Source organism: Homo sapiens, chromosome 7 (genome assembly GCF_000001405.40).
Source record: "Homo sapiens chromosome 7, GRCh38.p14 Primary Assembly".
Taxonomy (NCBI): Eukaryota; Metazoa; Chordata; class Mammalia; order Primates; family Hominidae; genus Homo; species Homo sapiens.
The window spans coordinates 149,809,177-149,822,440 of NC_000007.14; the positions used below are offsets into that span (position 1 = coordinate 149,809,177).

The 13,264-nt window shown below is 62.6% G+C and overlaps 1 pseudogene across 1 annotated transcript in view; it reads left to right on the forward strand.

Moving 5' to 3' along the window:
* SSPOP (SCO-spondin, pseudogene) overlaps nucleotides 1-13,264 on the forward strand; it is a 57,924-nt pseudogene that overhangs the window by 33,135 nt on the left and 11,525 nt on the right. The window contains exons 62-85 of the transcript NR_163594.1: nucleotides 213-358; nucleotides 1,739-1,833; nucleotides 2,489-2,541; nucleotides 3,090-3,260; nucleotides 3,385-3,464; nucleotides 4,454-4,623; nucleotides 5,158-5,204; nucleotides 5,296-5,487; nucleotides 5,598-5,768; nucleotides 5,999-6,199; nucleotides 6,513-6,609; nucleotides 6,714-6,913; nucleotides 7,196-7,362; nucleotides 8,442-8,572; nucleotides 8,725-8,948; nucleotides 9,280-9,321; nucleotides 9,476-9,631; nucleotides 10,130-10,339; nucleotides 10,541-10,708; nucleotides 11,474-11,605; nucleotides 11,700-11,946; nucleotides 12,221-12,373; nucleotides 12,449-12,495; nucleotides 12,686-13,021. The product of NR_163594.1 is annotated as an SCO-spondin, pseudogene (transcript). The remainder of the gene's footprint in view (nucleotides 1-212; nucleotides 359-1,738; nucleotides 1,834-2,488; nucleotides 2,542-3,089; nucleotides 3,261-3,384; nucleotides 3,465-4,453; nucleotides 4,624-5,157; nucleotides 5,205-5,295; nucleotides 5,488-5,597; nucleotides 5,769-5,998; nucleotides 6,200-6,512; nucleotides 6,610-6,713; nucleotides 6,914-7,195; nucleotides 7,363-8,441; nucleotides 8,573-8,724; nucleotides 8,949-9,279; nucleotides 9,322-9,475; nucleotides 9,632-10,129; nucleotides 10,340-10,540; nucleotides 10,709-11,473; nucleotides 11,606-11,699; nucleotides 11,947-12,220; nucleotides 12,374-12,448; nucleotides 12,496-12,685; nucleotides 13,022-13,264) is intronic.

The window sequence follows — 13,264 nt, forward strand, 5'->3', positions numbered from 1 at the left end:
GGCCTGCCCTGGGGACCCTCCAGTTCTCATTCTTACCAACCCAGGGCACTGTCAACCCCCTGTCTGCCACCCCAGCACAGCCCTGTCCCTCGGCCCTTGTGCAGTCCCCATGACCACCCCACCCATACCCAGAGCTGGTGCCTCTCCCAGGTTGGGAGCTCAGGGGAGAGCTGAGTGCTCTGGGGCTGGGCTGTCAATTTCTATGTCCCCAGGGCCAGTGCCTGGCATGTGTCCCAGGGACAAGCAGTGGCTGGACTGTGCCCAGGGCCCTGCCTCTTGTGCAGAGCTCAGCGCCCCAAGAGGGACTAACCAGACCTGCCACCCTGGCTGCCACTGCCCCTCTGGGATGCTTCTGCTGGTGAGTGTCCCCCTGCCTGGCCCCAGAGAGGCCTCTGTACAGCCTGGGGACCATGGGGTGGCAGGGAAGGGACAGGCAGGATCTGGACAGCGAAGAACATAGGGTATGGGGCTAGAGACAGGGAGACCCTGCAAGGTTGAGGAAAGGGTACTAAACTCATGGGTTACAACTCAGCTCCGGCAGGAACCAGCAGGGGATCCTGGGCAGGTCTCATCCCTCTCCCCCTAATCTCTGTTTCCTCACTGGTAAAAATGGTGATAGGTCTAGAAGATCTTTGTGAATTGTCCCTGCTCAACTGCTCTGTCCACTATGTTATCACCAGTTATTTATCGAGCACCTACAGTATGTTAGTCTCTGGCTGAGCTATTCTGTAGGGAAGGAGTAGTCTCTGCCCTCAAGAAGCATCCAGTCTGGGGAAACCAGACCCAGAGTCCCTAAAATGAAGCTAGAACCATCAGACGGGCAGGAAGTGAGCTTTGCACATTGTGGAGTGGAGTGGAGTGGGCTGGGTCAGCCATGGAGGGCTCCCTGTAGGAGGTGATCCTGACTTGAATATCAGAGATTGGAGGGTGTGGAGAGTAGGGAGGCATGGAGGGCTTCCTGAAGGAGGGGGTCCTGCACTTGAAGATCCAAGATTGGAGAGCAGAGAGGTGGCCACTCTAGTCAGAGGGTGGTAGGAATTGGGGCTAGGAAATGCCGGCTGTGTGGTGGGATTGAACAAAGCCGTGGGGTGTGGTTAAGGGACACGTTGTAATCATATCTGAGTCCAAATCAGGCTCTTTTACTGGTAGCCCTGCGAGCTTGGGGATAGTATTCCCGTGCCTCAGTTCCTTCCTTTGTAAAATTGGGGTAAAATTACAGCCAGTCACAGGAGTCAGTGAGACGGTGCAGGGAAAGGGTTTCCCAGGCCCTGGCCCGTAAACTTCAGTGCGTTCGACTTTGAATCATGCGCCACAAGACAGTTGTTTCTTTTAAATCTGAAGGACTTCTGTCCAGATTCCCTGTGCACAATGTTTTTCTGTTTTTATTTTGTTGATGAAAATGTGTCTTTTCCTACCATTGCTGTACAAATTGCATATTTCATGTTTTCATGGCTGACTTCATGGGGATTCGACAGTTCAGTCTCATGTCCTGCAATTTTTAAGATGGTCTTTTTCTCCTAGAAATTGGAGGGTCCACGTCCCCACGTCCCCACGGCCCCCAAGCCGATGGTCCGCATTTGCCTGGCAGGAGGGCAGAGGGGAGAGCTGCATGTCTGTGGAAGGAGAGTGGCTGGGTTTTAAGGGGGAGCTTGAGGATTGCATGCTGGCTCTGACCAGGGTGGGGAGCCCAGGCCCAGCCCATCTGGAGCCAGAAGATGATAGAGGGTTTCGATTCCAGAACAACGTGTGTGTGCCCACCCAGGACTGCCCCTGTGCCCACGAGGGGCACCTCTACCCCCCGGGCAGCACTGTGGTTCGTCCATGTGAAAACTGGTGAGACACCGCCCCCATCCCATTATGGCCCTGTGACCTCTGACGACCTGCTGTCCCTCCTCAGAGGCAGGGATTTTGGCTCCAGTCGGGGACAGAGACACATGTGCCCCCCACCCCCAGCCCCTCGGCACAGCCGTCCAGCCCTCTGAGGCTGCACCCTCCTGCGCCCCTCCCTCCCCCTGTCCCCCACCTGTTTTCCCTCTCCCCACCTGTGTTAGCCTCCTGGGGCTGCTGCCACCGAGTGCCATGCACTGGGGAGCTAGAGCAGCGGCCCCTGATGGTCTCACAGATCCTGGAAGCCCAGGATCAAGGTGTTGGTGGGTGGGCTCCTTCTGAGGGCTGCAAGGGAGACTGTTCAAGGCCTTACTCCTCTTCTGGGAGTTTGCTGGAAATCGTTGGCACTCCTTGGCCTGTAGGTGGCCTTCTCCCTATCTCTTCATGTCATCTTCCCTCATTTTCTCTTTTATAAAGGACATAAGATGCATTAAAACTAGGGCCACCTCAGTGACCTCCTTTTAACCTGATCACCTCTGTACAGACCTCATCTCCAAATAAGCTCCCATTCCCAGGGACTGGGGGCCAGGACTTGAACTTGAGGGTTTGGGGGGCCACAATGCAGCCCATAGACCAACCAACCCTCTGCTGCTCCCCACAGCTCCTGTGTCTCCGGGCTCATCGCCAACTGCAGCTCCTGGCCTTGTGCGGAGGGTAAGGAAGCGTCCCCACTTCTGACTTGCACCTCGGCTCCCCCATCCCTCAGCTGCAGGAGTGGGCCAGGGCTGAGACTGGGGGAGGAAAGCCATCAGGAGAGATGGGGGGCAGAGGCACCATGCTCCATCTTCAGCCTGTCCAGCCTGTGCCTGTCCCCCTCCTGCCTGCCCGCCTCCTGGATATCCCCTAGGTGAGCCCACGTGGTCACCCTGGACCCCTTGGAGCCAGTGTTCAGCCTCCTGTGGCCCTGCCCGGTGCCATCGGCACCGGTTCTGTGCCAGGTCCCCCAGTGCAGTGCCATCCACCGTGGCTCCGCTGCCCCTGCCAGCCACCCCCACACCTCTCTGCTCAGGCCCCGAGGCTGAAGAGGAGCCATGTCTCCTGCAGGGGTGTGATCTTGAGTGCCTGCCTGCCCTGCCCGCCTGGACCCTCCTGGGGAGCCCAGGGTGGTGCCCACTGTACGCTGTGGATGCTGCTGCCTTGTACCAGCTGTGCCCTGGCCCCAGCCAAGCCCCTCCTCACTCCTTCCTCTGCTGTGTCCCCAGGAGCTGGGGGATGGGGTCCATGGGGGCCCTGGTCCCACTGTAGCCGGAGCTGTGGGGGAGGCCTGCGGAGCCGGACCCGGGCCTGTGACCAGCCCCCACCCCAGGGCCTGGGGGATTACTGCGAGGGGCCACGGGCACAGGGGGAGGTCTGCCAGGCTCTGCCCTGCCCAGGTACCTGCCAGGGATGGGGGTGGGGGTCAGGGACAGAGGAAGGGGAGTTAGAGGAAGCATTCCAGGGAGAGAGGCCAGGGTGGATGGCCCCACACAGTTCTCAGCCCATCCTGTTTGCCCTCAGTGACCAACTGCACTGCCATTGAAGGGGCCGAGTATAGCCCCTGTGGCCCTCCGTGCCCTCGCTCCTGTGATGACCTAGTGGTGAGTCCCAGCTCCCTTGGCACTGCCACCTGACCCAAGGCCCACTTTGCGGGAGGGCAGGGTGTGGATTTGGGCTCACGGCCTCTTTGGCTGGGGCCTGGACAGCCCAGCACAGGAAGGCACGGGTGGGGGCCCTGGTTTCAGTTCACAGAGCATGCCAGGCCACCCCAGAGAGACACCAGCCTCTCTCCGCACAGAGCCAGCCTCACCTGACAGCCTTTGTCTGTAGATCAGACATTTCTCACATTAAAGTGTTATGACAAAAATGGCATAAACACAAAGGAAGGGGGAAATCATCTCCTGAACCCCATGAGCACGTTGGTGTCTAGACCTGCATCTGTGTGTGGGTGGGGGAGTGGCGGGGGGTGGGAGAAGCAAACACAGGGTCACCACGGAGCCCACATTCTGGGCTGAGCAAGACAGACACACGTGAAAGAGTGGTCACAGTAGGGGCCATGAAGAATGAGGTGGGGCTTCGAGGCCTTGGGTGTGGAGGTGCTGAGGGAGGTGGGGAGAGGGAGGAGAAAGAGGAGGATCTCGAAGAGAAGAGAAGGTCGTTGCGGGCAGTGCCTGCTCCCAGCCGCCCCAGGACCTCCCAGCTCCTTCCCAAACTGCCCCCTTGCCCAGCCAGCTCCCCACGTTCTAGAGGTCTGGGGCATGCCCCAGCTTCCAGGCCATGAGTCCAGGTCACCCGCTGGAATTGGGGTTTTACATCTGGGAACACCTAGCTCCAAATCCCTGCCCCAGGGGGCCAAAGGGAACCTCCTCAGCTGCTCCTCCCTCCCCTCCACCCTCAGGGAGGGGCCAACCTCAGTGCAAACTGCAGGGCTAGCTGGGTCCCCTTCCTGCCTTTCTCATCTGCACTACCAGGCGTACTCTGTTGAAAACGTGAGGCCTCTGTCACACCTTCCTCCCCAGCCCCTTGTTCCGTCGTCTTCCCTGCACAGCTTTCCTTTTTCTGCTGATGGCCCCCACTTACTGTCCCCCAGCACTGCGTGTGGCGCTGCCAGCCTGGCTGCTACTGCCCACCAGGCCAGGTACTGAGTTCCAACGGGGCCATCTGCGTGCAGCCGGGTCACTGCAGCTGCCTGGACCTGCTGACCGGGCAGCGGCACCATCCGGGTGCTCGGCTGGCAAGGCCTGACGGCTGCAACCACTGGTAAGGGGCCCTCGCCGTGGTGGGAGGCAGGGATGCCAGCAGGAGTTGCCCCACTTCATCCCATTCTCTCGAGCTCTCTGGAGTCTCCGCGGATGGTCACATTTGCCCCCCACAATCCCTGAGCAGATGTGGGGCAGGCACCAAGACCCGCGTCTGATAGGCGAGGACGCTGAAGCTGACCCTGTGTGTCTGCGGGGGCTGGGCACGTGCTCAGCGGCAGGAGGGGTCTGGGCAGGAGGAGTGACAGATATGGCATTCACAACCCATCTGACCACAGAGTTGGCTCCAGGGTACCTGCAGTCCTTCCCCAAGAGTAGGCATCATCTGGTGACCCCGAGAGGGCCAGCTAAGTGGGACAGGAAACAGGATAGGGAGGCACTGGAGAGCTGGGAGATGGGGCACTATCTGGCAGAAAACTGAGGATCAATCATAAGGATGAGGGGAGGGGAGAGGCAGCTGGGGGGGTGCAGAGTTAGGGTTTGGGGTAGGACTAAGCTGCTGCCTCTTCCTTCTGTGTCTGCACCCCCTGCCCAGCACCTGCCTGGAGGGGAGGCTGAACTGCACAGACCTGCCCTGCCCAGGTATGTGCCTAGCTTGGAGGGAGGTGAGGAGGGGGGCCTGGGACCGGGCAAGGGACGGGCTGCACCCCAGTGCCCACCATTCTCCTTGTAGTGCCCGGAGGCTGGTGCCCGTGGTCGGAGTGGACAATGTGCTCCCAGCCCTGCAGGGGCCAGACCAGGAGCCGCTCCAGGGCCTGTGCCTGCCCCACTCCTCAGCACGGTGGTGCCCCGTGCACTGGAGAGGCTGGGGAGGCAGGGGCCCAGCATCAGAGGGAGGCCTGCCCCAGCTACGCCACGTGCCCAGGTGTAATGCCCCACGAGGCCCATGCCCCTCCCCCAAAAGGCCCTAAAGCCCTGCTCCAGCCCCGCTAACCTGGGGCCTCCTAATGCGGATGATCTGTCTTCCTGCCACAGTGGACGGAGCCTGGGGCCCATGGGGGCCATGGTCTCCCTGCGACATGTGCTTGGGGCAGTCCCACCGGAGCCGGGCGTGCAGCCGGCCCCCCACCCCTGAGGGAGGGAGGCCCTGCCCTGGGAACCACACGCAGAGTCGCCCTTGCCAGGAAAATTCCACCCAGTGCACAGGTCAGGCTTCAGTGAGGTCTGAGAGGGCCCCTCTAAGTCCAGGGAGATGCCGACTCTGGCCTCTGACCTCCACACACATCATGTCACTATCTCAAGGGACAGTTCCCAGGCCATCAGTCATGGACCTGGTCAAGGTGGCGGGTCCGAATGGGCGCCAGGCATGGCAGGAGGGTTGAAAATGCCTCAGGATGCCCTTCGGTGACCACCCTCTCTGCTTTCTTCCTGCGTAGACTGCGGGGGTGGCCAGAGTCTGCATCCCTGTGGGCAGCCCTGCCCCCGCTCCTGCCAGGACCTGTCCCCTGGGAGTGTGTGCCAGCCAGGCTCTGTGGGCTGCCAGCCCACTTGTGGGTGCCCCCTGGGCCAGCTCTCCCAGGACGGGCTGTGCGTGCCCCCAGCCCACTGCCGCTGCCAGTACCAGCCTGGAGCCATGGGTGAGTGCCTCCCCTCTCCCCCAGCCCCCAGCACTGCAGTGCCACCTGTCTGGCCCCTGTGCCGCTGCCCCGGGGACCCAGCCTGGGGCTGCAGAACAAAAATGAGCGATTACCAGCTCTCCAGGCCTTCGTGTCCCTCGACTCCCCTCCCAGGGCTGGTCTGGTTGGAGTGTCCACCTCCCTTGTTCAGGACACAGGGTGCCATGCGGTGGAGGCAAGAGGGTGGGGAGTAGAAGGCCATGGGGTGGGAGGAGGGATGGATGGGGGGAGCTGAGCTGTCTGGAGCCCCCACCCTCCCTCCTGTGCCCCTCAGGGATCCCTGAGAACCAGAGCCGCTCAGCAGGGTCTAGGTTTAGCTCCTGGGAGAGCCTGGAACCCGGAGAGGTGGTCACTGGGCCATGTGACAACTGGTAAGCCAAGAGAAGTGGGGGCGGGGAGGCGCATAGAACCCAGGAGGGGAGCCCTCAGGGGATGGGGCTGGTCCTGTCTCTGAAGCCCCCTCCTTTGTCCCCAGCACCTGTGTGGCAGGCATTCTGCAATGCCAGGAGGTGCCTGACTGCCCGGACCCTGGGGTGTGGAGCTCTTGGGGCCCTTGGGAAGACTGCAGTGTTTCGTGTGGGGGCGGGGAGCAGCTGCGCTCCCGGCGCTGTGCTCGTCCTCCCTGCCCAGGGCCTGCCCGCCAGAGCCGCACATGCAGCACACAGGTCTGCAGAGGTGAGCGCCAGCCCGGGGCTAACCCCACTCTGACCTTTGAGTCCCATCCTGGCCTTTGACCCTGACTCATGGGTGCCTTTTGGCCTCTCCCTCCCCACCCCCACCTGTCCTCCAGTGCCCTCCCACCAGCGATGGACAAGTGAAGGAGGACTCAGCCAGGCTGTGGGAGCCTGTGGGAGGGGGCGCTGCCCAGGGCGGGGGGATGGGCAGGTGAAAGGCACTCCCTGAGGTGGTCAGTGAGGGCCGGGGCCGGAGCAGGTGCTGATGTGGCTGCTGCCTCAGAGGCAGGCTGCCCGGCTGGCCGCCTGTACCGTGAATGCCAGCCCGGCGAGGGATGCCCCTTCTCCTGCGCCCACGTCACGCAGCAGGTGGGCTGCTTCTCTGAGGGCTGCGAGGAGGGCTGCCACTGCCCCGAGGGCACCTTCCAGCACCGCCTGGCCTGTGTGCAGGTCAGAACCTGTCCACCCCACAGCCCTCCCTGCCCTCCCTTCGCCTGTCCCCTCTGTCATGTCTGTCACTTTTGCAGACCCTGTCATCCCTGGGCAGGCCCCTAAGCAGCACACAGGCTGGTGAGGCCAGCCGAGGCCTCTGCTGACAGCGTCAGGGGCAGGCAGAGTTAGACGCAGCCTCCCGGGGTCCCTGGTTCCCCGGGATGGGGAACACCTGCCACCTCTGGACTTGCCTGTCCTCTGTTCCTGACTGGTACATGTCCCAGCCCTGCTGGAGCTCACACCCACCCCTGTATTCCCCGCCCACCCCTCACCCTGGCAGGGAGGGGCAGTTTCCTGCCAGGTTCCCATGTTCCCCAACCTCACTGGCCCAGCCTCACCTCCCTGTCCTCCACTGTGGGTCATGGGTCTTCACTGCCCCTCTCTTGCCTGTCACATGCTTGTGGGGACAGTGCCCCTCACCTTCACTCCCCTTGGCCCCACCTGGTCCCTGCTGGGCATCCCAGCGGCAGCCGGGGCCCAGCTCTGCTCTGGGGAGCCTGACAGGCACACAGGGATCCCTTTCCTAATCCTAAAGCCGGCTGCCCAGTGGCCACTCCTGAGCCAGAGTTCCAGGATGCCATGTTCAGGAGGGACCAGAGCAGCCACCTGGTCTCACCTCCTAGACCTAGAGATGGTGACAGTGAGCCCCAGAGAGGGGAGGGGACACACCGAGGTCACACACAGCAGCAGAGCCAGACCCAAACCTAACGTCCCGATTCCTGGCTGAAGCTCTTTCTGCCCCCCGCATCATGTGTGAGCCTGTGAGGGTCTGTGTTGGTGCCTCCTTGTGTCCTGCTGGGCGCTCTGTGTGGGGAAGCCAGCTCAGGCCAAGCCCCGGCCATGCCCCTCTCATGGTGTGCTCATGCCCCTGATGGGGGTGAACAGCCCCCTGCTCCTGGAAATGCTTTCCTGGAGCCTGGAGCCCTTTTCCGGGTCCTCACACTGTCCCTCCCCAAGTCTCTCCAGGGGATGCGCACAGCCCCGGGTGGGTGGCTGGCCTGTGCTGTGATGCTGCCTCCTCTGCCCCACTCTCCCAGGAGTGCCCTTGTGTGCTGACAGCCTGGCTGCTGCAGGAGCTGGGAGCCACCATAGGTGACCCTGGTCAGCCCCTCGGGCCTGGAGATGAGCTGGACTCAGGCCAGACACTTCGTACAAGCTGTGGCAACTGGTGAGGGGGATGGTGAGGGTGGGGACTGGGCTGGGGAGGGTCAGGGAGATTTTCAGTGGAGGGAGGGGTTAGAGGGTAAGAGGACAGGGACCGGGAACCCCAGTCTACCCTCTGGCCCCACCTGGGCTGGGCTAACCTGGCTCTTCCCCCAGCTCGTGTGCACACGGGAAGCTGTCTTGCTCCCTGGACGACTGCTTCGAGGCCGATGGTGGTTTCGGTCCCTGGAGCCCGTGGGGCCCGTGCTCCCGCTCCTGTGGAGGGCTGGGCACCCGTACCCGCAGCCGCCAGTGTGTGCTCACCATGCCCACCCTCAGTGGTCAGGGCTGCCGTGGGCCCCGCCAGGACCTCGAGTACTGCCCCAGCCCAGACTGCCCTGGTAAGGACAGGCAGAAGGTGGTGGGCAGGGCTGGGGTCAGGATGGCACTGGACAGACGTCTAGGAGGCCTTATTGGAGGAGGCAGTATCTGAGGGGTTTTGAGGGAGGGAGGGAACTTTGACCAGCATTGGAAGGAAAGGAACAGCTTGAGCAAAGGCCTTGAGCCTGCAAGGAAGTGCTGTGCTTGGGGCCTGGGTGTCCGCAGGAGCTCAAGCTGAGGAAGGCTGGACTAGATAGCCATGAGCCCGCAGTGCCAGCTGCCAGCCTTAGGCGTGGTCCCGGTGCGCTGTGGGTACCAAAACATTTCTGAGTGGGGTTTCCTTTGGCACAGGGGCTGAAGGGTCCACGGTGGAGCCAGTAACAGGCCTTCCAGGTAGCTCCAGACTCCCTGTACCTCTGCCTCATGGCCTCCCTGTGGGAAGAGCAAGCCCAGGGACCCCTCCCCGCTTCCCCCTCCCCTGCTTCCTGGAGAGGCTGAAACTCAGGGCCGACTCAGCACAAGGCACCCTCCCCAATCCCTCCCCCAGGTGGCTGGGGCCCATGGTCCTCCTGGTCCCCCTGCTCCAGAAGCTGCACGGACCCCGCTCGCCCTGCATGGCGCAGCCGCACCCGCCTCTGCCTGGCTAACTGCACCATGGGGGACCCATTACAGGAGCGCCCCTGCAACCTGCCCTCATGCACAGGTGTGCCTTCCAGCCTCAACTTCTGATCCCAGCCACCACCCTCAGACAACTCATTGTAACCCCCAATTCCCAATATCTAATACCCCTCAGGTAATCATTGGTTTCTAGTGTTGACATCTCATTTCAAATCAGTGTCTGACTCCGGGCTCTGGATCCTCTTTGCCAACCCCAGCAGATGCTGGGGAGCCCAACTTCCAGCACATTCCTTGTTCTCTGGTGTGTGTGCTGAACTCTCCACCCGCCCCAAGGTCCCGCCCAAATCCCTCCATAGCCCTGTAGTCTGGGATTACTGTCCCTGATGAGAAAAGGGGATAGTGAGGCCCAGTTGTCAAAGCCACACAGCAGTCAGTGTCAGATCCAGAATGAGAGCCCAGAGCTCTGGACGAGGCCACTGCTGGCCTGGGTGGTGGAGGTCCACCGTTGAGCTGGGAGCAGAGAGGAAAGGCTGGGCAGGTGTCATGCAGCCGGGACTGGCTCCAGCTCCGCTTTGTGTCACAGAGCTGCCCGTGTGCCCTGGCCCTGGCTGTGGGGCTGGGAACTGTTCCTGGACCTCCTGGGCCCCGTGGGAACCTTGCTCCCGCAGCTGCGGAGTGGGCCAGCAGCGCCGCCTGCGGGCATACCGTCCCCCTGGGCCCGGCGGGCACTGGTGCCCCAACATCCTTACTGCCTACCAAGAGCGCCGCTTCTGCAACCTGCGAGCCTGCCCAGGTGAGGCGGCTGGGGGAGACCAGGGCATGCCCCAGGCTCTGCCCCTGGAAGGCCCCTGGCATCAGTGCCCCCTCCCAGGCACCCAGCCTACCTGAGTGTGGCACTTTCATCTCTCACACCAGACCCTGACCTGGGCTCGTGGGATAGGTGGGGGCCCCCTGCCTGAGCCGACCCCTCAGGTGGCCGTTCTCTTTCCCACAGTGCCCGGGGGCTGGTCACGCTGGAGTCCCTGGTCCTGGTGTGACCGCAGCTGTGGGGGAGGCCAATCCCTGAGAAGCCGCAGCTGCTCAAGCCCCCCATCCAAGAACGGGGGAGCCCCCTGTGCTGGGGAGCGGCACCAGGCCCGCCTCTGCAATCCCATGCCTTGTGGTATGGCAATGGTGACAGTCCTGTCCTACCCTTATTGGGCTCCACTCTGCATGGGGCCTGGCTGCTACCTCATGGGCCAGTTTGGAAACTGAGCCCTCTGGGGTGGAGGGCTGGGCCTGGCGTTGGGCAAGGATACCCTGAGCATGTCTGTTGTCTGTGCCAAGGCCCAAGGATCCACCCTGGCCACCCCAACCCACAGGAGAGCTCCTCCTTTCAGCTTTCCCACCCCCGAGGTGGGAAAGAGCCACCAGCCCTGTCACAATTTTTGGAGGCTTTGACAGTGGCACTTTTAGGAGCGGCTGTGGCACTCGTGGGTGGTGGATGGAGCCAGCGGCTGTAGCTGAGCCTGTGCCTCCTCCCGTCACCCCCAAGCTTCAGCTCCTTCTTTAATTGGCCCTCAACAGCCCCATGGCATGGGTTCCCCCGGGGCTCCCCTCCTCTATCCCCACCCATCCTCTGGGTGGACACAAAAGAGGCTCCAGGTGACATTATTGGCTTTTGAGACCCACAAATTTAGTCCAGCTCCACAAACATTTACTGGGTACCGGGTAGGTGCTGAGAACTCACAGGAGGTGAGAGGAACTCACTGTCTACCTAGAATGTCCCAATTCCAGAGTCTTCCCGAGTCTCCCGTGTTTCAGTGAGCACCAGTGTGGGGGATGGGATGGGTCCTGTAGCTTTATGGAGGTAGGGAGTCCCCAGTAGGGCAGAGGGAGGGTTTCTGAGCCCTGGGCCCTCCTGACTCTGGGCCCTCCATCTGCTCAGAGGCCGGCTGCCCAGCAGGCATGGAGGTGGTCACCTGTGCCAACCGCTGCCCCCGCCGCTGCTCAGACCTCCAGGAGGGAATTGTGTGTCAGGACGACCAGGTCTGCCAGAAGGGCTGCCGCTGCCCAAAGGGTAGGTGCTGCCCTATCCTTCAGGAGTGTCAGGGTGGCTGAGTGGGAAGGTGTGGGTGGGGCCAGGGGTGCAAGCTCCAGCCCTTGCCCCACAGGGTCCCTGGAGCAGGATGGTGGCTGCGTGCCAATTGGGCACTGTGACTGCACCGATGCCCAGGGCCACAGCTGGGCCCCGGGGAGCCAGCACCAGGATGCCTGCAACAACTGCTCATGCCAAGCTGGGCAGCTCTCCTGCACGGCTCAGCCCTGCCCGCCTCCCACCCACTGTGCCTGGAGCCACTGGTCGGCCTGGAGTCCCTGCAGCCACTCATGCGGGCCCAGAGGGCAGCAGAGCCGCTTCCGGTACGGGGCTGGCAGGGCTAGATGTCCCTTCTGCCACCCAGGGCCTCACTCTGCAAGGCGCAGTCTCCCTTCTGACAGAGTTCCTGGGTCCTGCTCTCACCAGCGACAGCACCACCCCAGGCCCTGGGCCAGCTCTGTCCCTGGTTACCCTGGCTTTTCCTCAGCTACCCCCATGCCCACCCTGAGGTGTCCCGTCAGGGTGTCTCATCAGGAGACAGAGAAGGGATGACGGGCCTGAGCTATCTCTCACCTCCTCTGCCCTGGCCCCACCCAGGTCCTCCACGTCGGGCTCGTGGGCCCCAGAGTGTCGGGAGGAGCAGTCCCAGAGCCAGCCCTGCCCTCAGCCCTCGTGCCCACCCCTGTGCCTGCAGGGCACTCGCTCCCGCACCCTGGGGGACAGCTGGCTGCAGGGGGAGTGCCAGCGGTGGTGAGTGCAGGGCAGGGAGGGGGGCTGGAACCGCCCTGCTGGAGAGCAGAGTCCTGAGTCCCGGCTCTTTCCCAGCTCCTGCACCCCGGAGGGTGTGATCTGCGAAGATACGGAGTGTGCAGGTCTGGGCTGCCTCCGGATCCCCGCCTCAGCCACCCTTCTAGCCTCATGCCTTGCCTGCCATGTGCTCTGTGTCTCATTTTCTCCCACCTTACTTAACTGCCACTCCCTTGGCCACCATGCAGGTCCCCACCCAGTCCTTTGGCCTTTGCTCCCTCCGCCTCCTCTGACCTCACCTGTGCCCTCCCACAGTGCCTGAGGCTTGGACGCTGTGGTCCTCCTGGTCCGACTGCCCTGTCTCCTGTGGAGGTGGAAACCAGGTCCGAACCCGGGCCTGCAGGGCCGCAGCCCCTCACCACAGGAGCCCACCCTGCCTGGGCCCTGACACCCAGACCAGGCAGCAGCCTTGCCCAGGGCTGCTGGAGGCCTGCTCCTGGGGCCCGTGGGGGCCCTGTTCCCGCAGCTGCGGCCCGGGCCTGGCCTCTCGCTCTGGGTCCTGCCCCTGCCTGATGGCCAAGGCCGACCCCACCTGCAACAGCACCTTCCTCCACCTGGACACCCAGGGCTGCTACTCAGGGCCCTGCCCAGGTGAGTGTTCAGGGGAAGTGAAATCACCTCTCTACTTTTCCTACCTTGGGAGATTCAGAAAATAAATGTTCCTAGTTCCCGGATCATCCCTTAAAATAAGCCTGCCCTGTCTGTGCCCCCATGTTTTGCTCAGTTCCTTTCCTCTTCCCACCATCTCTTCCCTCGGGGCCCTCCTTGTAGGGTGAGAGGGCGTCCAGCCAGCTGGGCCTTTCAGGCCCCTCTTGCCTGTTTCCTGTGCAGGGT